Source organism: Homo sapiens, chromosome 7, assembly GCF_000001405.40.
Source record: "Homo sapiens chromosome 7, GRCh38.p14 Primary Assembly".
Classification (NCBI taxonomy): Eukaryota; Metazoa; Chordata; class Mammalia; order Primates; family Hominidae; genus Homo; species Homo sapiens.
Window position 1 is genome coordinate 5,926,570 of NC_000007.14, and position 26,953 is coordinate 5,953,522.

The window sequence follows — 26,953 nt, forward strand, 5'->3', positions numbered from 1 at the left end:
TGGTAGCTTTTTTTATCCCCCTCCAAACTGCAAAACCAGTTTTAGGCTATTTATAGTATACAGCCCTTCATACCTGCATTTCAACAGCATGTGTAAACAAAACTGTAAGTTGCTACACTCTGCCTGAAATAACTGATGCCATGTCGACACAGTCCAAAATAAACTTCTCATCTATCTATGAAAAGAAAATTTTTTCTCGAGACAGACAGAGTTTCGCTCTTGTTGCCCAGGCTGGAGTGCAATGGTGCAATCTCGGCTCACTGTAACTTCCGCCTCCCGAGTTCAAGCGATTCTCCTGCCTCAGCCTCCTGAATAGCTGGGATTATAGGCTTCCGCTACCACGCCCGGCTAATATTTTGTATTTTTAGTAGAGATGGGTTTCACCAGGTTGGCCAGGCTGGTCTCAAACTCCTGACCTCAGGTGATCCACCCACCTCGGCCTCCCAAAGTTACGTGTGTGTGTGTGTGTGTGTGTGTATTATGTGTGTGTGTGTGTGTATATGTGTGTGTGTGTGTGTGTGTGTGTGTATTTTTTTTTTTGAGATAGGGTCTTACTGTGTTGCCCAGGCTGGAGTGCAGTGGCACAAACAAATCACTGCAGCCTCAACCTCCCAGGCTCAAGCAATCCTCCTGCCTCAGTCTCCAAAGTAGCTGGGACTACAGGCGCCTGCCACCACATCTGGCTAAATTTTTGTATTTTTTGTAGAGATGAGGTCTTGCTGTATTAACCTAGGCTGGTCTCAAACTCAAGTGATTCTCCTGCCTTGGCACCCCAAAGTGCTGGGGTTACCGGCATGTGCCATGATGCCCAGCCCATTTGGGGACTTTATGGAGGGTCCAATATGTAGACCTGATTAAGTCACTGGCTATTAGTTATTGAACTCAATCTCCAGCCCCTCTCCCTTCCTGGGAGGTTGGGCTGGAGCTGAAAGTCCCAACCTTCTAATCTTGTGGTTGGTTTCCTGGCAACCAGCTCCAGCGAGAAGCTATCGAGGGCCCCTCCCCTGGCTACCAGTCATCTCAATATAGTCATTACCCCAAAGAGTCCACAGGTTTTGAACTCTTGGGTCAAGAAATAGAAAATAGCTGCATGCAGTGACTCACCCCTGTGACCCCAGCACTTTGGGAGGCCAAAGCTGGCAGATCACTTGAGGTCAGGAGTTCGAGACCAGCCTGGACAACCTGGTGAAACCTCGTCTCTACTAAAAATACAAAAATTAGCCAGGCGTGGTGGTGCATGCTTCTAATCCCAGCTGCTCGGGAGGCTGAGGCAAGAGAATCGCTTGAACCCGGGAGGCGGAGGTTGCAGTGAGCTGAGATCATACCACCCCACTCTAGCCTGGGTGACAGTGAGACCCTGTCTAAAAACAAAAAATAAAACTAGAAACTAAGACCAAATATTAGAACAAAAGATGCTCCCATTATCCCATTACTCAGGAAGTTACAAAGGCTTCAGGTGTTCTGCCAGGAACAGAGACCAAATATTCATTCCTTTTTATGTCAACGACGCCCATAGGAAATTACGGCTTGTCCGGAAAGCACTTGGTCCTGATGCGTTCTGGCAGCTACGGAAGACAGGAAGAGAGAGAGCAGCTGGGGAAGGAGAGGAGGGACCTCGTAAGTTACCTTGCTTCCAGTTCGTCATCTTCCATCTTCCGCTGCTGGGCCTGTGCTGTGCTACGTAACCTGTCTGCCCTTATTTTCTCCTTGATAGCTTCTTCACGTTTATACGCATGAAAGAGCGTGTTCACAAAGAAGACGTACATATTATTGACCCACGTGTTGAACTCTTCCTCTCGATCATCCTTGGGTCTCTCATATTTCTCTGGAATAGAGTTTCATGAAGCTGAACATGAATACAATCCTGCTGTCAATTGGGGGTCTGCGTGCTTTTTCTCGTTCTAGCCTCCCTGGGGTGGGCCCCCTTCTCCTCGGCCAGGAGAGGGGAGAGGAGTAAGGACGCTGCTTCCATGACCACCTGGAACAAGGCAGGGGCTCAGCAGACCCTGGCTGGGATTGTCAGCCTTCCCTTTGAGTTTCCTGCTACCTCGTTTTTTCTTTTTTGTTTTTTTTTTTTTTGGAGACAGAATCTCACTCTGTCACCCAGGCTGGAGTGCAGTGGCGTGATCTCTGCTCACTGCAACCTCCACCTCCTGGGTTCAAGCGATTCTCATGCCTCAGCCTCCCGAGTAGCTACAGGCGTGCGCCATCACACTCGGCTAATTTTTGTATTTTTAGTAGAGATGAGGTTTCACCATGTTGGCCAGGCTGGTCTCGAACTCTTAACCTCACGTGATCCACCCACCTCGGCCTCCCAAAGTGCTGGGATTACAGGCATGAGCCACTGTGCCCAGCCACCTCTTTTTTTTCTATCTTAAGAATTTGGGTTTTCTGATACTTTAATTTTCCATGTTTCAAGAATAAAAAAACTCGTTTCTCTTGCTTTTTTCTTTTTTTTTTAAAGACAAGCTCTCTATGGCCCAGGCTGGAGTGCAGTGGCATGACCATGGCTCACTGAAGCCTGGAGGAACTCCTGGGCTCAAGTGATCCTCCTATCTCAGCCTCCCTAATAGCTGAGAATACAGGCATGTACCACCACACGAGGCTAATTGTTTTAAGTATTACTGTGAGGCAAGATCTTGCTCTGTCATCCAGGCTGGAGTGCAGTGGTACCATCATGGCTCACTGCAGCCTCCAACTCCTGGGCTCAAATGATCCTCCCACCTCAGCCTCCCAAGTAGCTGGGACCACAGGCGGGTGCCACCACACCCAGCTAATTATTATAGAGACAAGGTTTCGCTATGTTGCCCATGGTCTCAAACTCCTGAGCTCTAGTAATCCTCCCATCTCGGCCTCCCAAAGTGCTGGGATTACAGGCATGAGCCTCTGCACCCGGCCTAGGTCTTGGGGACAAAATATTCGAAAGCTTTTATTTATTCAGAGTTTGAAACCCCTTTAGAGACAAGGATAGCTGTGTATCCCAAGTGAATCCTCTCTCCTAGAGAACTAGACAACGGGTTACTCTCACAAAAGTAATTTCCTAGTAGTTATAGTTATCCCTCTCTATCTTTCTTGTCTAGGCTAAAGAATCTCTAAATCTTAAACTACCGTAATTTTTTCCATCTTTTTAAGCAATTCTGGTTATCTATTCACTTGGAAGATTTTAAAATTCAGAGAATCAAATTATACGCAATCCAGGACTCTAAGGTCAGAACAAGACTGAATGTGAAGGAAGATTCCTTTTTGTTGGTTGGAGACAGGGTCTTGCTCTGGCACCCAGGCTGGAGTGCAGTGGTGCAATCACAGCTCACTGCAGCCTCGAGCTCCTGGGCTTAAGCAGTCATCCTGCCTCAGCCTCCCAAGTTGCTGGGACTACAGGAGTGTGCCACCATACCCGGTGAATTTTGATATTTTTTTTGTAGAGACGGGCTCGCTATGTTGCCGAGGCTGGTCTCAGACTCCTGGGCACAAGTGATCCTCCTGCCTTGGCCTCCCACAGTTCTGGGGTTACGGCTGTGAGCCACTGCACCTGGCTGCAAGATTGTCTTATGTTCATTCATGAACTCTCAACTAGACACCCACAAGCTGGAGGACAGTAAGTCACGGCTGCCACATGCAGTAATCAGACGAAATGGTACTGGAAGAGATGCCACGTGGGTCAAGGGGATCCTTGACAAGACACAGGGCAGGAGCCACAGGACTGGTGACTGGCACACGGGACTTAAAGGAACAACCAGAGAAATCCAGGACAAAATCCAGTTGGAGCTGGGACTAGAGATCACTTCCCTGCTAATCAGATCAGCAGGAAAACACATTAGCTGGGGTTCCATTTTCAGTTCTATTTCTGTTACAGGAACTGTGCGTCTTGATTACGGCACCGCAGGAATGCCCTGTCTCTGCTGGGATGCTGAGCTCTGCGGGAGAAAATGACACAACCCACAGATTTGCACCAGAGGGAGAAGAAACCTAGGATGACGAGGGGTCACAGAGGCCGAATCTCTGTGAAGAGTATTTCAAGAAGCTGACGCTTTTCCTGACTATGGAGAGATCGGTTCAAGTGACAGCAGGATTCCTGGCGGTGGCAACACGGAGTCACTGCTGATGAAAAGGGGCCTTCAGTGGCCTGGGGAGGACAGTGCCACATGGAGCAAAAGCTAAGGGACACACAGGAGAGGTCCTGGAGAAGGTGAGCACGTACACAGCCCCCCAAGATACCTAGCAGCAAAGGTGAGCATGTACACAGCCCCCCAAGATGCCTAGCAGCAAAGGTGAGCATGTACACAGCCCCCCAAGATGCCTAGCAGCAAAGGAGCAGGGAAAGAAAGTGGGATCTAGAGGGGAAAGTGGGAGAAGAGATTTTCCTTTTTTCCTTTTTTTTTTTTTTGATATGGAGTCTCACTGTCACCCAGGCTGGAATGCAATGGCATGGTCTCAGCTCACTGCAACCTCTGCCTCCTGGGTTCAAGCAGTTCTCTCACCTCAGCCTCCCAAGTAGCTGGGACTACAGGCGTGTGCCACCACACCTGGCTAATTTTTGTATTTTTAGTAGAGATGGGGTTTCACTATATTGGTCGCGCTGGTCTCGAACTCCTGACCTTGTGATCTGCCTGCCTCGGCCTCCCAAAGTTCTGGGATTACAAGTGTGAGCCACCATGCCCGGCCAAGAGAAGAGATTTTCCTAACTGGGCATATGCAGCACATGTGTGCCGATGGGAATGATCCACTGGAGGAGGAGTAACGGGAAACGACAGGCACTGTAGAGGGGGATACACAGGGGAGGCCTTTGAGAGGACAAGGGCCCGGGATGGAACCTTTAAAAGTCCACCATTGAGTGGGCGGCCGGCCATAGAGAGACACCGTCAGAAAAGGGGGAGGGCCAGGCGCGGTGGCTCACACCTGTAATCCCAGTGCTTTGGGACACCAAGGCGGGAAGATCACTTGGGCCCGGGAGTTCAAGACCAGCCTGGGCAACATAGCAAGACCCCATCTCTTTAACAAACAAAGACCAGGCGCGGTTGGGCTCATACCTGTAACCTCAGCACTTTGGGAGTCAAGGCGTTCAGATCCAGGAGTTCTTGGATCCAGGAGTTCAAGACCAGCCTGGGCAACAGAGCAAGAACCCACCTCTTAAAAAAAAAAAAAAAAATGCCCAGGGGCGGGTGGGCTCACACCTGTAATCTCAGTACTTTAGGAGGCTGAGGCAGGCAGATCACCTGAGGTCAGGAGTTTGAGACCACCCTGGCCAACATCATGAAACCCCATCTACTAAAAATACAAGGTGCAGTGATGGGTGCCTGTAATCCCAGCTACTAGGGAGGCTGAGGCAGGAGAATCACTTGAACCCAGGAGGCAGAGGTTGCAGTGAGCTATGATGGCACCACTGCACTCCAGCCTGGGCAAGAAAGTAAAACCCTGTCTCAAAAAAAGAAAAAGAAAAGAAAAGAAAAGGGGAAACACCAGGGCTTGTTTAATCATGAAAACAAGGCCACGTGCAACTGGCAAGGCCAGCAGAGTAACAGCGGGAAATTCCCATGACATTGATCATCACTGGATGACCCTGAGGAAAGCAGAGGCATGAGGTTGGAAGTTCACACGGACACGGCTGAGGAATCAGACCAGAGGGAGGAAGCGCAGTCAGCAGACAGAGAGGCCTCAAGAGCGATCTTCCCAGGATAAAGGAAAACATAATAAAACAGGAGGATGAGGAAGTGAATAAGGGTTGTGTGTTGTTTTTAATTTGAGCACCTTTAAAAATCCGAGAGAATGAGACCCTTGAGAGAGAAAAGTTGCCTGTAAGAAAACAATGTAGTCAACGGCATCAGACTCTGAGATGGGCGTGCAGGGCCCAGGGGAGGCCCAGCTGTCCCATACTGGCATCTGCCCTAACAGACTGAGTCAGCACAGCAAGGTCACGCCTTGAACTTGAACTCCAAACCAGGGAGGAGAAACAGAAGCAGCTGTACCAGCCTCATTATTTAAAAAGATGGTTGTGCTGGGTGTGGTGATGCCTGCTTGTAATCCCAGTTACTCGGGAGGCCGAGGTGGGAGGATCGCTTGAGCCCAGGAGTTCAAGACCAGCCTGGACAACATAGCGAGACTCTGCCTCTAAGAAACTAAAAATTAAAAAAAGATGGTTGTAAAACAGTATAGACATTATATAATTCATAAGCAACAGTTTGTAAATATTAAGGTTCTACAATTAAAATACTCACTGCTCTCAGATGAGAAAAAGGTGATCCCTTTTCCAGTCAATTTAAAATTCATTTTGGAGACTCTTTCATGACTTACAGACTTCTTGATCTTGGGCTTTTGCATTTTAAAAAAATCATAAAGCAAAATATTACGTTTACATCATTATGGGGTTAAAACTGCTTTTTTATACTTTAATTAATTAGAAAATTATTAATGAGGCTGTTCTCCTTGAGCTAATTTGACTTTAATTTGACTTTTTTTTTTTTTTTTTTTTGAGACAGAGTCTTGCTCTGTTGCCCAGGCTGGAGTGCAGTGGCGCGATCTCGGCTCACTGCAGCCTCCGCCTCTCGGGTTCCAGCAATTCTCCTGCCTCAGCTTCCCTGGGTAGCTGGACTACAGGCATGCGCCACTACACCAGGCTAATTTTTGTATTTTTAGTAGAGATGGGGTTTCACCATATTGGCCAGGCTGGTCTCGAACTCCTGACCTCAGGTGACCTGCCTGCCTTGGCCTCCCAAAGTGCTGGGATTACAGGTGTGAGCCACCACACCCAGCCAATTTGACTATTTTAACCTGAATAAAATATTTATATTATTAATGAAATGAACAACAGAATTATGGCATTTACTGAAAGCCTCTCAAAAAAAAACCCCAAAACTTGAAAATGTCACCTGGGTCTGTTGGTACAGTATTTATTGTATAAAATTAACGATACCGGCTAGGCGTGGTGGCTCATGCCTGTAATCCCAGCACTTTGGGAGGCCGAGACAGGTGGATCACAAGGTCAGGAGATCGAGACCATCCTGGCTAACATGGGTGAAACCCCATCTCTACTAACAACACAAAAAATTAGCCGGGCGTGGGGGTGGGTGCCTGTAGTCCTAGCTACTCAGGAGGCTGAGGCAGGAGAATGGCGTGAACCCGGGAGGCAGAGCTTGCAATGAGCCGAGATCCAAGATCGCACCACTGCACTCCAGCCTGGGCGACAGAGCGAGACTCTGTCTCAAAAAAAAAAAAATTTAACCATACTTAGATTCATATACTAATGGCTTTAATTATTATTACATTTTTTGGGACGGAATCTCACTCTGTTGCCCAGGCTGGAGTGCAGTGGTGTGATCTTGGATCCCGGCTCACTGCCACCTCTGCCTCCCAGGTTCAAGCAATTCTCCTGCCTCAGCCTCCTGAATAGCTGGGATTACAAGCACCTGCCACCAGGCCTGGCTAATTTTTATATATTTTAGCAGAGATGGGGTTTCACCATGTTGGCCAGGCTGGTCTCGAACTCCTGACCTCAAGTGACCCACCCACCTCGGTCTCCCAAGGTGCTGGGATGACAGGCGTGAGCCACCTCGCCCGACCTAACGGCTTTAATCACCACATGTATGCCCTAACCCCCATATTTCTACCTCCAGCCGGAGTTTGCCCTTGAACTCCAGTCTTGCCTCCAGCCATGCTACTTGGGCATCAGTTCAGGCACCTTAAGCTTAACTTGTCCAAAATCAACCACTTAATTTTGCTCCCAAAACTCAGCCCCCTGCCTCCGTCTTCCACATCATCATAAATGGCAACTCCATTCTGCCAATGCTCAGCCAAAAAATCTTGGACTCATCTTTGCCTTCTCTTTGCCTTTCAACCCCTGCACCCTTCAAAACACCTCAGACCTCAGCCCACCTTAGTCCCAGTCACCATCACCTCCCAGCGGGATGGTTCCAAGAGCTTCCTCACTGGTTTGTCAACGGTGAAGCCACAGAGCCTCCTGACACCTCTGCTCAGATGGTGTCCCATCCCATCCCACTCACCCAGAATAAACGCCAGGACCCCCCGCCCCGGCCACATGCCCTTCCTGTCACTTAGACCTCGTAAGTGGGAAGAAGCATAGCTTGCGGTAACCGGTGCTAATTCTGGAGTTAAAGTGCCTGGGCACAAACCCCCAGCTCCATGCCTTACTGGTTATGCAGCTGTGGCCAAGCTATTTAACCTTTCTGGGCCTGGGTTCCCTCCTAGAGAGAATCACAGTACCTGAAGGTCATGGGGATGCTGAGCTGGTCCCTGGGGACAGCTCGGCGCCTGGTAAACACCCATAAACGCTATTACTGCTGTTCACTTGCTGCCGTGTCCCCTCCTCACTGGAAAGTAAAGCCCATGAGGGCGTGGGTTTCTGTTCACTGCTAGGTCCCCAGAGCATGGAAAAGAGCTCTTCGCAGAGCAGGCACTCGGTAGCGGGTGTCTCTACACGGTTAGTTGCCAAGACAAACCTCTGATTTCCTTATTTTGTTAACATCAGGCGAGAGTTCTAACTTGCTGGAAGATGACCTGGCACTGTCAGAGTGAGCAGCATCCGATTCGTGGCTCATGACCGCGCTGGGACTCTTGTTCTGGGCGTCCTAAGCAAGAACAAACACACGCGTCAGAGGGCTTCTGGTTTCCATAGAGATCCATACAGGCATACATACATGCACACACGCAATATTTTAATGGGCTGTAACTGATTTACAATGAACTACACATAAACTGTACCCTTTGATGTGTTTTCACACATCTATACCTGTGAAACCATCGCCTCAGTCAAGAGAGTGAACCGAATCAGGCACAGTGGCTCCCGCTTGTAATCTCAGCACTTTGGGAGGCCAAGGTGGGCGGATCACCTGAGCCCAGGGGTTTGAGACCAGCCTGGGCAAGAGAGCAAGACCCTGTCTCTAAAAAAAATAAATAACAGGGCAGGCGCTTCGCTCATGCCTGTAATCCCAGAAGTTTCAGAGAATGAGGCGGGCGGATCACTTGAGGCCGGGAGTGCAAGACCAGGCTGGCCAACACGGTGAAACCCTGTCTTTACTAAAAATACAAAAATTGGCCAGGTGTGGCGGTGTGCACCTGTAATCCCAGCTGCTTGGGAGGCCAAGGCAGAAGAATCACCCTGAACCTGGGAGGCAGAGGCTGCAGTGAGCCAAGATTGTGCCACTGCACTCGAGCCTGGGCAACAGAGCAAGACTTTGTCAAAAAAAAACAAACAAGAAACACACACACACACACAGAGTGAACTTTTAAGTACCCAGCCTGATGCCCCTCATGGATGCGAAGGCTTCTCTACGCTGGCGACTGGAAATGCAAACTACTCCCAGCCCCGCGTGAGTCCTTGAGGTCCCTCCCCTGCTTGCTGGCGGCTCTTCCCTTAGGTTCCAGCTGTTCCCTCACATGCATGCACACTCAGCTGACGGCTCAAGGGGAGCCTTCTGCACATGTCTGGAGCTTGCTGTCCCTCTTCATAGCACACTTACCTCTGTGGAACAGAATTCTACCTTTGCCTCCCCAAATTACTAGAGCGTGTGAAACCACTGTGAGCTGAGCAAGAAGGATCAGCTTTGATAAGTTTGAAGCTGAGCCTCTCTCTGATCTCTAAATCACACTCCCAAATTGTTGGTCAAAAGGGAGCACGACATGAACGTTCAGTTTCCAGTGTCTTTTTAGTAGAGACGGGGTTTCACCACGGTGGGCCAGGCTGGTCTCGAATTCCTGACCTCAAGTGATCCGCCCACCTTGGCCTCCCAAAGTGCTGGGATTACAGGCGTGAGCCACCGCGCCTGGCCTGGGTGTCCATGCTTGTGAGCAAGCCCTGCGGACCTGGTTAGCATCCCACGCACACTCAGGAACTATTCGACACATCTGCTCTTGAGCAGGCTTTCCACTCTTAGAAACACTGGATCCATATAACGAAACATCTCCTAGTAAAACACCTCTGATTTTCTAAAGTGTGGTCTAGCGGCCCACCCAGCATGTCGGTATGCACTGTCACCTTCATCGGCAACTCTCTGCTGTGGCTAGGAGTCCACTTCCTGGATCATGGCCAGGAAACACATTTCCCCTAACTTAAAAAAATCTATATACACTTCCAAAATGTGAAAAAGACATCTTGGCCGGGCATGGTGGCTCACACCTGTAATCCCAGCACTTTGGGAGGCCGAGGCAGGAGGATCACTTGAGCTCAGGAGTTTGAGACCAGCCTGGACAACATGGCAAAACCCCATCCCTACAAAAAAATACAAAAAGGCCAGGCACAGTGGCTCAGGCCTAATCCCAGCACTTTGGGAGGCCAAGGCAGGCGGATCAACTGAGGTCAGGAGTTCGAGACCAGCCTGGTCAACATGGCGAAACCCCGTCTCTACTAAAAATATAAAAAATTAGCCAGGTATGGTGGCACACGCCTGTAATCCCAGCTACTCAGGAGGCTGAGGCATGAATCACTTGAATCCAGGAGGCGGAGATTGCAGTGAGCCGAGATCGTGCCACCGCACTCCAGCCTGGGCAACAGAATGAAGCTCTGTCTCAAAAAAAAAAAAAAAAAAAGAATTAGCTGGGTGTGGTGACACATGCCTGTAGTCCTAGCTACTCAGGAGGCTAAGATGGGAGGAACGTGTGAGCTCAGGAGGTCAAGGCTACAGTGAGGCATGATTCCACCACTGCACTCAAGCCTGGACAATAGAGTGAATCCCTGTCTCAAAACACATAAAATAAAATTTTAAAAGGAAAATGGAAAGACTTCTTAAATTACTTTCTGGAAGGGTTAGTAAAGCCAAGATAGTTTTGATGATGGTTTAACCATTCCAGAATAAAGCCATTCCTTGCTTTGTAATTCTTTTTGTTTGTTTGGTTTTTTTGTTTTGTTTTGAGAAGTCTTGCTCTGACGCCCAGGATGGAGTGCAGTGGCACAATCTCAGCTCACTGCAACCTCCACCTCCTGGGTTCACGCCATTCTCCTGCCTCAGCCTCCCCGGTAGCTGGGACTACAGGTGCCTGCCACCACGCCCGGCTAATTTTTTTGTAGTTTTAATAGAGACAGGGTTTCACCACGTTAGCCAGGATGGTCTCGATCTTCTGACCTCGTGATCCGCCCGCCTCGGCTTCCCAAAGTGCTGGGATTACAGGCGTGAGCCACCGTGCCCAGCCCTCCTTGCTCTGTAATTCTAAGATTACCTAATTCTAAGATATTATGTGTTACCTGATTTAGTATTGTATAAATAGTTTCATGTTTATTTCCAGACACATCATCAGCTGGAACATTTGTATAGGATTTAGTCATTTGGTCAGTAACACAGATGAATGCAAAGCTTAAGAGAGCTTCAAAGAATTCCAGGAAAACCAGCTGAAATAAAATAAAACACAGAGAGTTTCCATCATTCTGACACACCTGGAGACAGAGCATTGATTGACTGGTGTTCATTATTTCCTGACATCTGAATATGCACGTTTGCCCACACACACACAGACATGCAGACACGTGCACAAAGACACACACACATGCACACACACGCACAGACACGCACACACATATATTAGGTACTTGTGTTCAGAGTGCTTTCAATCAAATCTTGGTTCTTAGGCTGGTCACAGTGGCTCACATCTGCAATCTCAGCACTTTAGGAGGCTGAGGCAGGAGGATCATTTGAGCCCAGGAGTTTGAGATCAGCCTGGGCAACACAGTGAGACCCATTCTGTACAAAAAATTGTTTTTAAAAAATCAGCTGAAGGCTGGGCGCGGTGGCTCATGCCTGTAATCCCAGCACTTTGGGAGGCCGAGGCAGGTGGATCACGAGGTCAGGAGATCAAGACCATCCTGGCTAACACGGTGAAACTCCGTCTCTACTAAAAAAAATACAAAAAAAAAAAAAATTAGCCGGGCGTGGTGGCGGGCGCCTGTAGTCTCAGCTACTCGGGAGGCTGAGGCAGGAGAATGGCGTGAACCCGGGAGGCGGAGCTTGCAGTGAGCAGAGATTGTGCCACTGCACACTCCAGCCTGGGCAACAGACTGAGACTCCGTCTCCAAAAAAAAAAAAAAAAAAAGCATCAGTGAAAAGGCTAATGAAAAAAAGAAAAAAAAAATCTTGGTTCTTTGTCCTTGGTATCCATGGCAAAACCAACAGCCTGAATTGGATCTGTACCATTTGTGATGGCTCTTTACAAACCTCAGGTTCAAAGTTGCTGTCAATTCCATCATATATGAAACGATTATCCTCTGCTATGACCTCCATAAATGTAGCTGCTGTTAATTCTTTATTTATCATTTTAAAGTCCTGTAAAAAAGAAAAACCATAACTGCCTATAATTGTAAACAGCTATATGTTTTAATGTCAATTTATATCAATACAATAACTAAGAAAGTGTACCAGAAATTAATATCTTTTTTCTTTTTTTTGAGAGACGGAGTCTCGCTCTGTCGCCCAGGCTGCTAGGCAGTGGCGCAATCTCAGCTCACTGCAACGTCCACCTCCTGGGTTCAAGTGATTCTCCTGCCTCAGCCTCCCAAGTAGCTGGGACTACAGGAACACACCACCACGTCCAGCTAATTTTTGTATTTTTAGTAGAGATGGGGTTTCACTATATGTTGGCCAGGCTGGTCTCAAACTCCTGACCTCAAGTGAGCCGCCTGCCTCGGCCTCCCAAAGTGCTGGGATTACAGGCGTGAGACATTGCGCCCAGCCATAAATTAATATCTTAAAGACTGATAATTTTGAAAAGCATTCTGGATTAACATGGGCATTTGCGGCCAGACATGGTGGCTCACACCTGTAATCCCAGAACCTTGTGAGGCCGACGTGGGAGGATCACTTGAGCCCAGGTGTTGGGGATCAGCCTGGGCAACATAGCAAGACCCTGTCTTTACACAAAATTAAAAATGTAGGCCGAGCATGGTGGTGCATGCCTGCAGTCCCAGCTACTCAGGAGGCTGAGGTGGGAGGATCACTTAAGTCCAGGAGTTTGAGGCTACTGTGAGCTGTGATCATAACACTGCACTCCAGCCTGGGTAACAAAGCAAGAACCTGTCTCAAACACACACACACACACACACACACACACACACACACACACACACACACACACGTATTTACCTCTCTATCCCTTCTCTAGTGCCTCCAAAATAACAGCAGAGTATTTGTTGGCATCAGAACAGGACATAGAACATGGGAGACCAGAACACGGTCCAGGTGTGAAATATTAACACGATGCTGTAGGCCGAAAAGCACGTCGGGAAACAACGTGCTGCACAACAAAACCGATGTGACCGCAGAATAATTGACATGAAGAAGAGTTAAGCTCCTGACCACACGGCACTGGTTGAAGTCACAGTTTCCAAGAACCTATCAATAACGTTATGTGGGGCCGGGCGCGGTGGCTCACACCTGTAATCCCAGCACTTTGGGAGGCCGAGGCAGGCGGCTCACGAGGTCAAGAGATCCAGACCATCCTGGCCAACATGGACAAACCGCATCTCTACTAAAAATACAAAAAAATTAGCTGCGCATGGTGGCGTGTGCCTGTAGTCCCAGCTACTCGGGAGGCTGAGGCAAGGGAATCACTTGAGCCCAGGAGGCAGAGGTTGCAGTGAGGTGAGATCGTGCCACCGCACTCCAGCCTGGGTGACAGAGCAAGACTGTCTCAAAATAATAATAATAATAATGTTAAGTGAGGACTTACTGTACTCAAATGTTCAGGTTTCAATGTTTTTTTTTTTAAATCACTCATACCGACCAGCCTGGGCAACATGGTGAAACCCTGGCCAACATGGAGAAACCCCGTCTCTACTAAAAATACAAAAATTAGCCTGGCATGGTGGCACGCACCTATAATCCCAGCTACTTGGGAGGCTGAGGCAGGAGAATCACTTGAACCAGGAGGCAGAGGTTGCAGTGAGCTGAGATCACGCCACTGCAGTCCAGTCTGGGAGACAGAGCAAGACTCCATCTCAAAAACACAACAACAAAAAAAAAACTCATACCAAGAACCAGGAAGATCTCAAACTGAATGAAAAAAAGAGAATCCACAGATGCCATCTCCAAGATGACAAAGATGTTACAATTGACTGACAGAGACTGTGAGACAGTCATCACAAAAATGCTTCCATGAGGCTGGGTGTGGTGGCTCATGCCTCTGATCCTAGCACTGTGGGAGGCCGAGATGGTTGGATCACCTGAGCTCAGGAGTTTGAGACCAGCCTGGGCAACAGGGTGAAACCGTCTCTACTAGCCGAGCGTGGTGACATGCACCTGTAATCCCAGCTACTCGGGAGGCTGAGGCAGAAGAATCACTTGAACCCGGGAGGCGGAGGTTGCAGTGAGCCAAGATCAGGTCGCTGCACTCCAGCCTGGGCGACAGAGCAAGACTGTCAAAATAATAATAATAATAATAATTATTATTATTATTATTATTATTATTATTCAATGGGCAATTGCAAACATGCTTGAAACAAATGAAACCATGAAAAGGGCCAGGTGCAGTGGCTCACGCCTGTAATCCCAGCACTTCAGGAGGCCGAGGCACAAGGACTGCTTGAGCCCAGGAGTTCAAGATCAGCCTGGGCAACATGGCAATAACCCGTCTCTACAAAAAATAGAAAAATTAGCTGGGTATGTTGGCACACACATGTAGTCCCAGCTATTCAGGAGGCTGAGGTGGGAGGATTGCTTGAACCCGGGAGGTTGAGGTTGCAGGAAGCCAAGATTGCACCACTGTACTCCAGCCTGGGTGACAGAGTGAGAACCTTGCTCAAAAAAACAAAACTATTTTCCTATAGTTAGACACTAGGTTATTATCCATTTTTCATATGTATACAACATTATGAAATTTGTAAAAACACTGTATCATTAGTATTTGATTCTGTTTAATCATTTGTATTCCCACAAGTACAAATTAAAAGTACCATGGAACAGGCCAGGCACAGTGGCTCACGCCTGTAATCCCAGCACTTTGGGAGTCCGACACGGGCGGATCACGAGGTCAAGAGATTGAGATCATCCTTGCTAACATAGTGAAACCCTGTCTCTACTAAAAAATACAAAAATTAACTTGGCATGGTCATGCACGCCTTTAGTCCCAGCTACTCGGGAGGCTGAGGCAGGAGAATTGCTTGAACCCGGGAGGCGGAGGTTGCAGTGAGCCGAGACCTCACCACTGCACTCCACCCTGGCAAAAGAGCGAGACTTTGTCTAAAAAAAAAAAAGTATCATGGAACAAAAACAACCAATAGTTAGTATGAGAACATTGTATAAATGTTGTCACTATTTTCCCAAGTAATAACTTTTAAAAATTCCTTTTTCGATAAACTGTAATTGTTTTAAATGATATCCATCCTCCCCACTTCCTTAGTTTTTTTTTTGAGACAGAGTTCTGCTCTTGTTGCCTAGACTGGAGTGCAGTGGCACAATTCCAGCTCATTGCAACCTCGGCCTCCCAGGTTCAAGCAATTCTCCTGCCTCAGCCTCCGAAGTGGCTGGGATTACAGGCTCCGGCCACCATGCCTGGCTAATTTTTTTGTATTTTTAGTCGAAAGGGGGTTTCACAGCATTGGCCAGGCTGGTCTCAAACTCCTGACCTCGGGTGATCCACCCCCTCCGCCTTCCAAAGTCCTTCCTTTTTAAAAAGATTTCAGTTGACTTTATTGCTATTCTAGGATCAGGCAACACTTCAGTCCATCAAAAAGACTAAGGTGTTCCTCCATTTTCCTTTTTTGTTTTTTGGGGGATTTTTTTGGGACAGGGCCTCACTCTGTCAACCAGCCTGGAATGCAGTGGCACGATCACAGCTTACTACAGCTTCCCGAGTAGCTGGGACTACAGGCGTGCACTACCACGCCCGGCTATGATTTTTTTATTTTTTGTAGAGAGGGGGATCTCACTATGTTGCCCAGGCTGGTCTTGAATTCCTAAGCTCAAGTGATCCTCCTGCCTCGGCCTCCCAAAGTGCTGGAATTACAGGGGTGCCCCGCTGTACTCGGCCCTATCTTCCTTTAAATGGCTGGATCTGCATAAATAAAGATATTGTAGGCCAGTCAGGCACAGTGTCTCACACCTGTAATTCCGGCACTTAGGGAGGCTGAGGCGGGTGGATCACCTGGGGTTGGGAGGTCAAGACCAGCCTGGGCAACATGGTGAACACCCGTCTCTACTAAAAATACAAAAATTAGCCAGGTGTGGTGGCGGGCACCTGTAATCCCAGCTACTCTGGAGGCTGAGGCAGGAGAATTGCTTGAACCCAGGAGGTGGAGGTTGCAGTGAGCCAAGATCACTTCATTGCACTCCAGCCTGAGTGACAAGAGCAAAACTCCGTCTCAAAAAAATAAAATTAAAAATATATATATATTTATTATATATATATTTATTTATATATATATATATTTTTTTTTAAGACAATGGCCCATGGCATATATAAATATATATGTCCATGCTGGTCTTGAACTCCTTGACCTCAGGTGATCCGCCCACCTCGGCCTCTCAAAGTGCTGGGATTGCAATATATATATATATGCATGCCATGGGCCATTGTTATAGGCCATGGACCATTGTCTTGCCCTAATCTGTTAGCATATTGGGCAGGTGACGGCTGTTTCTGTTCCTTCCACGACCACAGACCACTGTTCTGCCAAGAGACTCAGTAAACATTTAATGGTCCTGAAAATCCAGCCCAGATCTTCACCTGATTATTTGCATATCACAGCTGGAATATCCTGCCTTTCTTTAATTAAAATCAAAGTGCCTGTAAATAGAAAGCCAATATCGAACTTAGGTGGTTACTTTCAGCATCCAGAGGAAGTGTCTCATCTTCATCGTAGGCTCGTGGGGAGGCGCTGCACTGGGTCTGCAGTAAGCGAGATAAATCTCCCAGCACTTATTCATGTAACTCATAGAGTAGAGCGTCCGCTGTTGCTCACGGAATAAATTGCCTAAAAATACAACGTTCGAAAAATGATTACAGATTTATGTTTTGAGAAAAAAATAGCAGTAAATATAATCCTATTGCTTTTGTTTTTTTCCCAGACAGAGTCTTGATGTCACCCAGGCTAGAGTGCAGTGGCACCATCTTGGCTCGCTGCAACCTCCGCCCCCCAGGCTCAAGCGATTCTCCTGCCTCAGCCTCCCGAGTAGCTAGGATTACAGGCATGCACCACCATACCTGGCTAATTTTTTTGTATTTCTAGTAGAGATGGGGTTTTGCCATGTTGGCCAGGCTGGTCTTGAACTCCTTGACCTCAGGTGATCCTCCTGCCTCGGCCTCCCAAAGTGCTGGGATTGCAGGAGTGAGCCACTGCGCCCAGCCCAGATTTATATTTTGAGAAAAAAAAATGGGGCGGTAAATAGAATCCTACTGGTTTTGTATTTACCTTTTATCTGGAAGGCATTTGGACGAATGTTCTCGGTCATCAGTTTTGTAAAACACAAGAAGAGGGATGGGCTTCTCTTTCTGTGATAATCATCAAAAGATACCATAGTTACTTCTCCTCCAAAAGAGGGAACTTAATTCCCTTCTCCTTGAGCACGGGCTAGACTTAATAATTTGCTTCTAATGTATAGAGTATAGAAAGGGAAGGCAAAGTCAGTGGCTCAAACCTATAATCCCAGCATTTTGGGAGGCCAAGGTGGGCGGATCACTCGAGGTCAGGAGTTTAAGACCAGCCTGGCCAACATGGTGGAACCCCATCTCCACTAAAAATACAAAAAATTAGCTGGGCTTGGTGGCAGACACCGGTAATCCCAGCTACTTGGGAGGCTGAGGCAGGAGAATCACTGGAACCTGGGAGGTGGAGGTTGCAGTGAGCCGAGATCGCGCCACTGCACTCCAGCCTGGGTGACAGAGCGAGATTCCATCTCAAAAAAATAAATATATAAATAAAAGTTTTTTTAAAAAAAGATATAAAACCACTTTTGCTGTAAGAAAGACAAGAAATTCTGACATAAGAAAGAAGACTTGGTTGTGACTATTTGTTTCTGCATTAGAAACCCCGAGAGATATTTGCAGTATTGAACTGACCAGATATGAAGGGCTTTCAAAGTTTTGATCCAGTATGTCATGGCTTTGTGGTTAATATTTGTGGAAAGGTTGTGTTCTGAGTCCTTCATTTCAAGAGTATGTTAAAAAAAGACTGCTGAGGCTGGGCATGGTGGCTCACGCCTGTAATCCCAGAACTTTGAGAGGCTGAGGCAGGTGGATCACCTGAGGTCAGGAGTTTGAAACCAGCCTGGCCAACATGGTGAAACCCCGTCTCTACTAAAAATACAAAAAAAAATTAGCCAGGCATGGTGGCACATGCCTGTCATCTCAGCTACCCAGGAGCCTGAGGCAGAAGAATTGCTTGAACCGGGGAGGCAGAGGTTGCAGTGAGCCAAGATTGTGCCACTGCACTCCAGCCTGGGCGACAGAGCAAGACTCCATCTCCAAAAAAATAAAAATGACTGCTGAAGAAAAGAGGGCATTATGACAATAATACAGCTTAGCTGTGCCCCATCCCCCAACAAGGGTCCAGAAATAGTACTTACTGGAATTCTTCATGATAAATGTGGTACGCCAAATGCAGGAGGTAATTCAAAAATGTTCTCAAAAGTATTGTTGTAAATGGAGAATGGATTTCTTCAACTGGTATGTCATTATTGGCTAAAATAAGAAAATTGGAGAGGATGCCTGACATTTGCTAGAACCTTCCATTTTATTTGCGCCTGGTATACAATTCGAAGAACTGAATATATGCGCTTATTTCAAAATGCTCTGAACATGTGTATAAGCGTCCAACCAAAAATTTAAAACTCCGTGAAAGCCAGGCACGGTGGCTCACGCCTGTAATCCCAGCACTTTGGGAGGCTGCAGCAGCAAATTGCCTGAGGTCAGGAGTTTGAGACCAGCCTGGGCAACATGGCGAAACCCTGTCTCTACCAAAAATACAAAAAATTAGCCAGGTGTGGTGGCGGGCACCTGTAATCTCAGCTGCTTGGGAGACTGAGGCAGGAGAATCGCTGGAACCCGGGAGGTGGAGGCTGCAGTGAGCCGAGATTGAGCCACTGCACTCCAGCCTGGGCAACAGAGCGAGACTTCATCTCAAAAAAAAAAAAAAAGATGTCAATCTTGTCCCACTGTTTTCCAGAATAGTCTGAGACACAATCTGATGAATGCTGCTAATTCTAAATGGATTTTAAGTATGTTTCAAACACTAAACTTTGACGTAAATAGGCATTTGCTCTAATACTTCATTTTTCAAGCGGATAATTAGAAGCTTGCAGCTCTGCCTGCCAGGATTTGGCTGAAAGAAGTTAAACTTCCAAAGTTGTTAAATTGATGACATCAACTTCCTAATTTGAAATCAAGACCAATCCTAAGACTACTTAGGGCCTTTTCTAGACTCTTCCAAGCCATTGCTGATTCTCCCTGTTTTGTTTTTTTTTTTTTCTTTTGAGACAGAGTCTCACTCTGTTGCCCAGGCTGGAGTGCAGTGGCACAATCTCGGCTCACTGCAACCTCCGCCTCGCGAGTTCAAGCGATTCTTCTGCCTCAGCCTCCCGAGTAGCTGGGACTACAGGCACGTACCACCACACCCAGCTAATTTTTTGTATTTTTAGTAGAGACGGGGTTTCACCATGTTAGCCAGGATGGTCTTGAACTCCTGACCTCATGATCTGCCCACTTCGGCCTCCCAAAGTGCTGATTACAGGTGTGAGCCACCGCATTTTTTTTAGAGACAGAGTCTCACTCTGTCACCCAGGCTGGAAATCTCGGCTCACTGCAACCTCCACCTCCTAGGCTCAAACGATTCTACTCCTGTCTCAGCCTCCCAATAAGTAGCTGGGAATACAGGCATGTACCACCATACCTGGCTAATTTTTGTATTTTTAGTAGAGACGGAGTTTCACCATATTGGCCAGGCGGGTCTCAAACTCCTGGACTCAAGTGATCCACCCGCCTCGGCCTTCCAAAGTGCTGGGATTACAGGCGTAAACCACGAGGCCTGGCCATCTCCCCATTTCTGACCTGACAATTTAGTGCTCTTTTACTATAGATCGCTGGTCAGGGGGAGAGAGGGAGGCAAACTTTCTGTAAAGGGCCAGAGAGTAAATATTTTAGGCTTGGTGGACCAGACCGTCTACATCACAATCCCTCAGCTGTGGTGCTTCGGGGTAAAGCAGTCACGAACACGTAAGCAAACGGGCATGTCTGTGTTCCAGTAAAGCATGATTTAGGGGAACGGGGGTGGACTGGATTTCACCCTGAGACCGTGCATTGCTGGCCCTGCTTTTGTAGGTGACCTCGTGCTGTTGCTGTTATGTCACGAGACTGTCTCTTTATCAAGTACCTCGTAATCACGGGGGAAATGACCACGCGCTGATTTCTGGAACACTCGTCTCCCAACCTGGGCCTTCCCAGCTCCCTCCACATTTCCTAACTGCTTTCCAGGTGACACTGTGATACTGTCCTTGAAACCAGAGGTCCCCAACCTTTTTGGCACCAGGGACCGATTTTGTAGAAGACAGTTTTTCCATGAATGGTGGAAAGCGGTGGGGGGCTGTTGGTTTCAGGATGATTCAAGCACATTCGAATTACTGCACGCCTTATTTCTATTATTATGACACTGTAATACATAATGAAACAATTCTACAACTCGCCATCAGGTAGAATCAGTGGGAGCCCTAAGCTTGTTTTCCTACAACTAGACAGTCCCATCTGGGGGTGATGGGAGACAGTGACAGATCATCAGGCATTCCATTCTCCTAAGGAGCGTGCAACCTACATCCCTCCCATGCTCAGCTCACAGTAGGATTTGCGCTCCTATGAGAATCTAATGCCCTGCTGATCTGCAGGAGGCGGAGCTCAGGCGGGAATGCCAGCGATGGGGAATGGCTGTAAAAACAGATGAAGGTAGGCTGGGTGCGGTGGCTCATGCCTGTAATCCCAGCACTTTGGGAGGCCAAGGCGGGCAGATCATCTGAGGTCGGGAGTTCGAGACACGCCTAACCAACATGGAAAAACCCCATCTCTACTAAAAAATACAAAAATTAGCTGGGCATGGTGGCACATGCCTGTAATCCTGGCTACTCAGGAGGCTGAGGCAGGAGAGTCACTTGAACCCAGGAGACAGAGGTTGCGGTGAGCCGAGATCGTGCCACTGCACTCCAGCCTGGGCAACAAGAGTGAAACTCTGTCTCAAAAAAAACAAAACAAAACAAAACAAAAAAACAGATGAAAGTTCACTTGCTTGTCCACTGCTCACCTTCCACTGTGTAGCCTGTTTCCTAACGGGCCATGGACCAGTACTGCTCCCTGGCCTGGGGGTTGGGGACCCCTGCCTTTTGTGTGTGTGTGTGTGTGTGTGTGTGTGTGTGATGGAGTCTCGCCCTGTCACCCAGGCTGGAGTGCAATGGCACAATCTTGGCTCACTGCAACCTCCGCCTCCTGGGTCCAAGCGATTCTCCTGCCTCAGCCTCCCAAGTGGCTGGGATTATAGGCATGCACCACCACGCCTGGCTAATTTTTTGTATCTTTTAGTAGAGACGGGGTTTCACCATGTTGGTCAGGCTGGTCTTGAACTCCTGACCTCGTGATCCGCCTGCCTCGGCCTCCCAAAGTGCTGGAAGTACAGGCATGAGCCACTGTGCCCGGCCTGGTCCTCTGCTTTAAACCAAAAGATGTGAAGGATCTGGAACACTCACCACTTAATATCCTGTCCATATCAGCAAGAGTTAGTTTGTGGTGATGAAATTTGCAATCTTTTAGAAATCTCCAGAAGTGAAGCTTTGTCATCAGAAAGGTATTATCCAGAGAGTGGCCGCATCCCAGGCTGCTGTAAAAGCTGTAAATTCTTCTTAATTCTGTAATATTTCTTAAGACGGCATATTCCACCTGAAAGGAAGAAAGTCATACGTGGATTAAGAACAAAAGACAGCCGGGCGTGGTGGCTCACGCCTGTAATCCCAGCACTTTGGGAGGCCGAGGCAGGCAGATCACCTGAGGTCAGGAGTTCCAGACCAGCCTGGCCAACATGGTGAAACCCCATCTCTACTAAAAATACAAAATTAGCCGGCCGTGGTGGCACATGCCTGTAACCCCAGCTACTCAGGAGGCTGAGGCAGAATTGCTTGAACCTGGGAGGAGGTTGCAGTGAGCCGAGATCATGTCACTGCATTCCAGCCTGGGCGTCAAGAGTGAGACCTTGCCTCAAAATAAAGAAAGAAAATTTAAATATTTTAAAAAGAACAAAAGACACAACACCTGTGTCCTACATTAAATGCGATAATACAAGTAAAGTAATGGCATTTAGCTCTTTCCACTGTAAGAACTTAAGAAGTGTTTGTTTGTTTTGTTTTGAGATGGAGTCTTGCTCTGTCACCCAGGCTGCAGTGCAGTGGCACGATCTTGGCTCAATGCAACCTCTGCCTCCTGGGTTCAGGTGATTCTCATGCCTCAGCCTCCAGAGTAGCTGTGATAACAGGTGCCCACCACCATGCCCGGCTAATTTTTGTATTTTTGGTAGAGATGGGGTTTCACCATATTGGCCAGTCTGGTCTTGAACTCCTGACCTCAGGTGATCCGCCTGCCTCGGCCTCCCATAGTGTTACGATGACAGGCGTCAGCCACGGCACCTGGCCAAGAAGCATTTTATTCTTTCCACCCACCCCCCTTGGTCAATAAAATGCCATCTCCGACCAACAGTAAAAACAAAACAAAACAAGTTATCTGGAAAGTAGACTTCCTTTCACATGGCAATGGGCTGGCTTCCCCTCTCAGTGGCGGCAACAAAATTCTATTGTCTGCAGATCCTTATCCTTCATCAACAAATGTGCAAAAATCCTCAACAAAATAAGTTGAATCCAGCAATATATAAAAAGAATAGTAGCCATGCATGGTGGCTCATGCCTGTCATCCCAGCACTTTGTGAGGCCGAGGCGGGAGGATCGCTTGAGCCTGGGAACTCGAGACCAGCCTGTGCAACATAGTAAGACTGTGTCTCAACTGAAAATTAAAAATTAAAGAAATTAACTGGCCGGGCGTGGTGGCTCAAGCCTGTAATCCCAGCACTTCAGGAGATCAAGGCAGGCGGATCACAAGATCAGGAGATCGAGACCATCCTGGCTAACACGGTGAAACCCTGTCTCTACTAAAAATACAAAAAATTAGCCGGGCGTGGTGTAGACCCAGCTACTCGGGAGGCTGAGGCAGGAGAATGGCGTGAACCCGGGAGGTGGAGCTTGCAGTGAGCAGAGATCGTGCTACTGCACTCCAGCCTGGGCGACAGAGCAAGACTCCCTCTCAAAAAAAGAAAAAAAGAACCAGACACAGTAGCAAGTGCCCGTATAGTCCCAGCTACTCAGGAAGCTGAGGCGGGAGGATTGCTTAAGCCCAGAAGGTCAAGACTTCAGTGAGCTGAGATCGCACCACTTCACTCCAGCCAAGGTGACGGAGCAAGACCCTAAGACCCTATCTCAACAAGAAAAAAAAAAAAACAAAAAAAAAGATAATATAGCAGCACCAAGTAGGGTTTCTCCTAGAATTGCAAAGCTGGGTTAACATTTGAAAAATCAATCAATGTAATTCACAGACTGAGGAAGAACCAAATGATTCTAACAACTGAAGCGTTTCACAGAATTTCACATCCATTCATGAAAAGCACCCTCAGCAAATTAGGAATAGAAAGGAATCCCTCAACCTGATAAACAGCATGTACAAAACACATGCAACTCACACCACACATAGGGCTGAAAGTCTGAAAGAAGCAATATTCCGCCAGGTGCAGTGGCTCACGCCTGTAATCCCAGCACTTTGGGAGGCTGAGGTGGAAGGATCACCTGAGGTCAGGAGTTCGAGACCAGCCTGGGCAACACAGTGAAACTCCATCTCTACTAAAAATACAAAATATAGCTGGGGGTGGTGGTGCATGCCTGTAATCCCAGCTACTCAGGAGGCTGAGGCAGGAGAATCCCTTGAACGCGGGAGGCGGAGGTTGCAGTGAGCTGAGATCGTGCCATTGCACTCCAGCCCGGGCGACAAAAGGGACTCCGTCTCAAAAAAAAAAAAAAGGAGCAATATTCACGGTGGTTGCTTTACTCACCTCCCTCTGTCACACTTCACCTTTTAGGATTTTTCCCCAGACCTTGACGCCCTTAAGCTGCCCCAGATTCCCCACACATGCAGCCCTGCCCTCTACACAGCGTCCTGTTCTCCAGAACCACTCACCCCATGCCCTACCCTCATAATGAGACATTCAGAGAATGCGAAGAACAGGATGCAGGGTCCTAAGGGAGACAGAGCCCTACCTGGGCGGCTTCAGGCATTTGTTACGCTGAGCATTCATTCCTGCTTTTGAAAACGCAATTCAACTGAATAAACACATACAATCTAAAGCATTGTTCTAGGCCGGGTGTGGTGGCTCACACCCATAATCCCAGTATTTTGGGAGGCCGAGGTGGGCCAATCACCTGAGGTCAGGAGTTCCAGACCAGCCAGGCCAATATGGTGAAACCCCGTCTCAACTAAAATACAAAAAAATAGCCGGGCGTAGTGGCCCACACCTGTAATCCCAGCTACTGGGGAGGCTGAGGTGGGGGAGGCTTGAACCCGGGAGGCAGAGGTTGCAGTGAGCCAAGACTGCGCCACAGCACTCCAGCCTGGGCGACAGAGCAAAACTCGGTCTCAAAAAACAAAACAAAAAAGAAGACATTCAACACGTGACAGCAGTCACCAGCTATATTTTCCCAGGATGCAACTCATACCAATCAAAAAGATTTTACCTGCTTCTTTTCTTCAGGTTGGACTGTCTCAGGGTACATGTCCAGGAGCAAATTTAGATCCAGCTCAATGCTCGATCCCAACACAGAATGACTTTCACTGCCATCAAGCTTTCTGATCAGTTCTAATGAATGAAGGCAAACACAGGGGATAAGTACGGTTTGTTTGGTGGGGTTTGTTTTTTTTTTTTTTTTGAGACAGGGCCTCACTCTGTCGCCCAAGCTGGAGTGCAGTGGCATGATCTCAGTTCACTGCAACCTCTGCCTCCCAGGCTCAAGCCATCCTCCCACCTCACCCTCCCGAGTAGCTGGGACTACAGAAGTACACCACAACGGCCAGCTAATTTTTGTATTTTTTTGTAGACACAGGGTTTCACCATGTTGCCCAGGCTGGTCTCGAACTCCTGAGCTCAACTGATCCGCCTGCCTTGGCCTCCCAAAGTGCTGGGATCACAGGCATGGGCCACCACACCCATCCTTGGAGATAATTATGAAAAGCAATGTTCAAATTTCTCAGTATTATGTCACAAAGATTTTCCACCAAAATGGGATACAAGAATATTCCAAAAACCTACTAAGAACACAGGCTGGGCACAGTGGCTCATGCCTTTAATCCCAGCACTTTGGGAAGCCAAAATGAGAGGTTAAGGCTGCAGTGAGCTATGATCACGCCACTGCACTCCAACCTGGGCAACAGAGTGAGATCCTGTCTCTAAAAAAAACATTTTTTAAAAGCAGTTGCCAGCTAGGCACAATGGCTTGCAGCTGTAATCTCAGCACTTTGGGAGGCCGAGGCAGGAGGATTGTGTGAGGACAGGAGTTTGAATCAGCCTGGGCAACATAGTGAGACCCTGCCTCTACAAAAAGTTTAAAAATTAGCTAAGCCTGGCCAGGTGTGCTGGCTCACACCTGTAATCCCAGCACTTTGGGAGGCCAAGGTGGGTGGATCACGAGGTCAGGAGTTAGAGACCAACCTGAGCAACATGGTAAAACCCCGTCTCTACAAAAAATACAAAAATTAGCTAAGCATGGTGGCACACGCCTATAATCCCAGCTACTCAGGAGGCTGAGGCAGCAGAATCTCTTGAACCCGGGAGGCGGAGATTGCAGTGAGCCAAGATTACACTGCTGCACTCCAGGCTGGGCGACAGAGTGAGACTCCGTCTCAAAAAGAAAAAAAAAATTAGCTAGGCTTGGTGGTGTGTGCCTGTATTCCCAGCTATGGGGAAGGCTGAGGTGGGAGGATCACTGGAGCCCAGGAGTTTGAGGCCACAGTGAACAGTGATCGTATCCTGCTCCATCCTGGGTGATAGAGCGAGATTTTGTCTAAAATTTTTTTTTAAAAAAGGAGTTGCTCACAGAGGACTTCTGTTTCCTGAAGTGTTCGGTGTATTTTCATGAGTGAACACCATGGATAAAAACAGATGAATTTTATTTCTTTTTTTTTTTCCATTTTATTTATTTACCAGACGGAGTCTTTCTCTGTTGCCCAGGCTGGAGTGCAATGGTGCAGTCTGGGCTCACTGCAATCTCTGCCTCCCGGGTTCAAGCGATTCTCCTGCCTCAGCCTCCTGAGTAGCTGCGATTACAGGCGCCTGCCACCACGCCTGGCTAATTTTTTTTTATTTTTAATTGAGACGGGGTTTCACCATGTTGGCCAGGCTGGTCTCGCACTGCTGACCTCGTGATCCGCCGGCCTCGGCCTCCCAAAGCGCTGGGATTACAGGCATGAGCCACCACGCCCGGCCAATGAATTTTATTTCAACAGGTGAATGCTTCCTACCGGCGCTCCTGGACAGTCTTGGGGCAACTCCTGAAGACAGGTCCAGGCAGCTGATGAATTCAACTTCAAGATCCGGAAACCCAGCTATGTGGTCATTGGAGAATGCGCCTTCGTACACACGCCCGTTCTTGAAAGTTAATCGGCCCTGCAGACAGAAAAACTTTTTACAGTTTAGGAAAAGATTTCTTAGAAAAACACTGGTAAGGCTGGGGGCGGTGACTCATGCCTGTAATCCCAGCACTCTGGAAGGCTGAGGCGGGCAGATCACAAGGTCAGGAGTTCGAGATCAGACTGGCCAACATGGTGAAACCCCATCGCTACTAAAAATACAAAAATTAGCCGGGCCTGGTGGCAGGCACATGTAATCCCAGTTACTCGGGAGGCTGAGGCAGGAGAATCGCTTGAACCTGGGAGGCAGAGGTTGCAGTGAGCCAAGATCGTGCCACTG

At 48.0% G+C, this 26,953-nt stretch overlaps 1 protein-coding gene across 12 annotated transcripts in view, besides 1 other annotated feature; it reads right to left on the reverse strand.

The window, feature by feature from the left end:
- The window catches only part of RSPH10B (radial spoke head 10 homolog B), a 44,716-nt gene that overhangs the window by 434 nt on the left and 17,329 nt on the right, over nt 1–26,953 (reverse strand). For 5 of the 12 annotated variants that reach the window (XM_011515204.3, XM_024446691.2, XM_011515207.1 and 2 more), the window contains 11 exons: nt 26,506–26,665; nt 24,726–24,847; nt 21,651–21,840; nt 18,495–18,609; nt 17,342–17,421; nt 16,755–16,903; nt 12,153–12,260; nt 11,189–11,332; nt 8,451–8,579; nt 6,213–6,306; nt 1,627–1,825 (listed from right to left, as the gene is read on the reverse strand). In XM_011515204.3, the coding sequence (XP_011513506.1) occupies nt 1,627–1,825; nt 6,213–6,306; nt 8,451–8,579; nt 11,189–11,332; nt 12,153–12,260; nt 16,755–16,903; nt 17,342–17,421; nt 18,495–18,609; nt 21,651–21,840; nt 24,726–24,847; nt 26,506–26,665 (1,490 nt within the window). Of the gene's footprint in view, nt 1–1,626; nt 1,847–6,212; nt 6,307–8,450; nt 8,580–11,188; nt 11,333–12,152; nt 12,261–16,754; nt 16,904–17,341; nt 17,422–18,494; nt 18,610–21,650; nt 21,841–24,725; nt 24,848–26,505; nt 26,666–26,953 lie in introns of those variants that run through there. The other 7 variants (XM_005249659.5, NM_173565.5, XM_047420047.1 and 4 more) reach the window with 5 other exon arrangements.
- Nucleotides 21,317–21,817: an enhancer, noted in NCBI's record as "H3K4me1 hESC enhancer chr7:5987517-5988017 (GRCh37/hg19 assembly coordinates)". NCBI's record gives its function as "activates a minimal SCP1, AML or CMV promoter by ChIP-STARR-seq in primed H9 embryonic stem cells {active_cell/tissue: H9 hESC(primed)}" and the evidence as "EXISTENCE:reporter gene assay evidence [ECO:0000049][PMID:30033119]".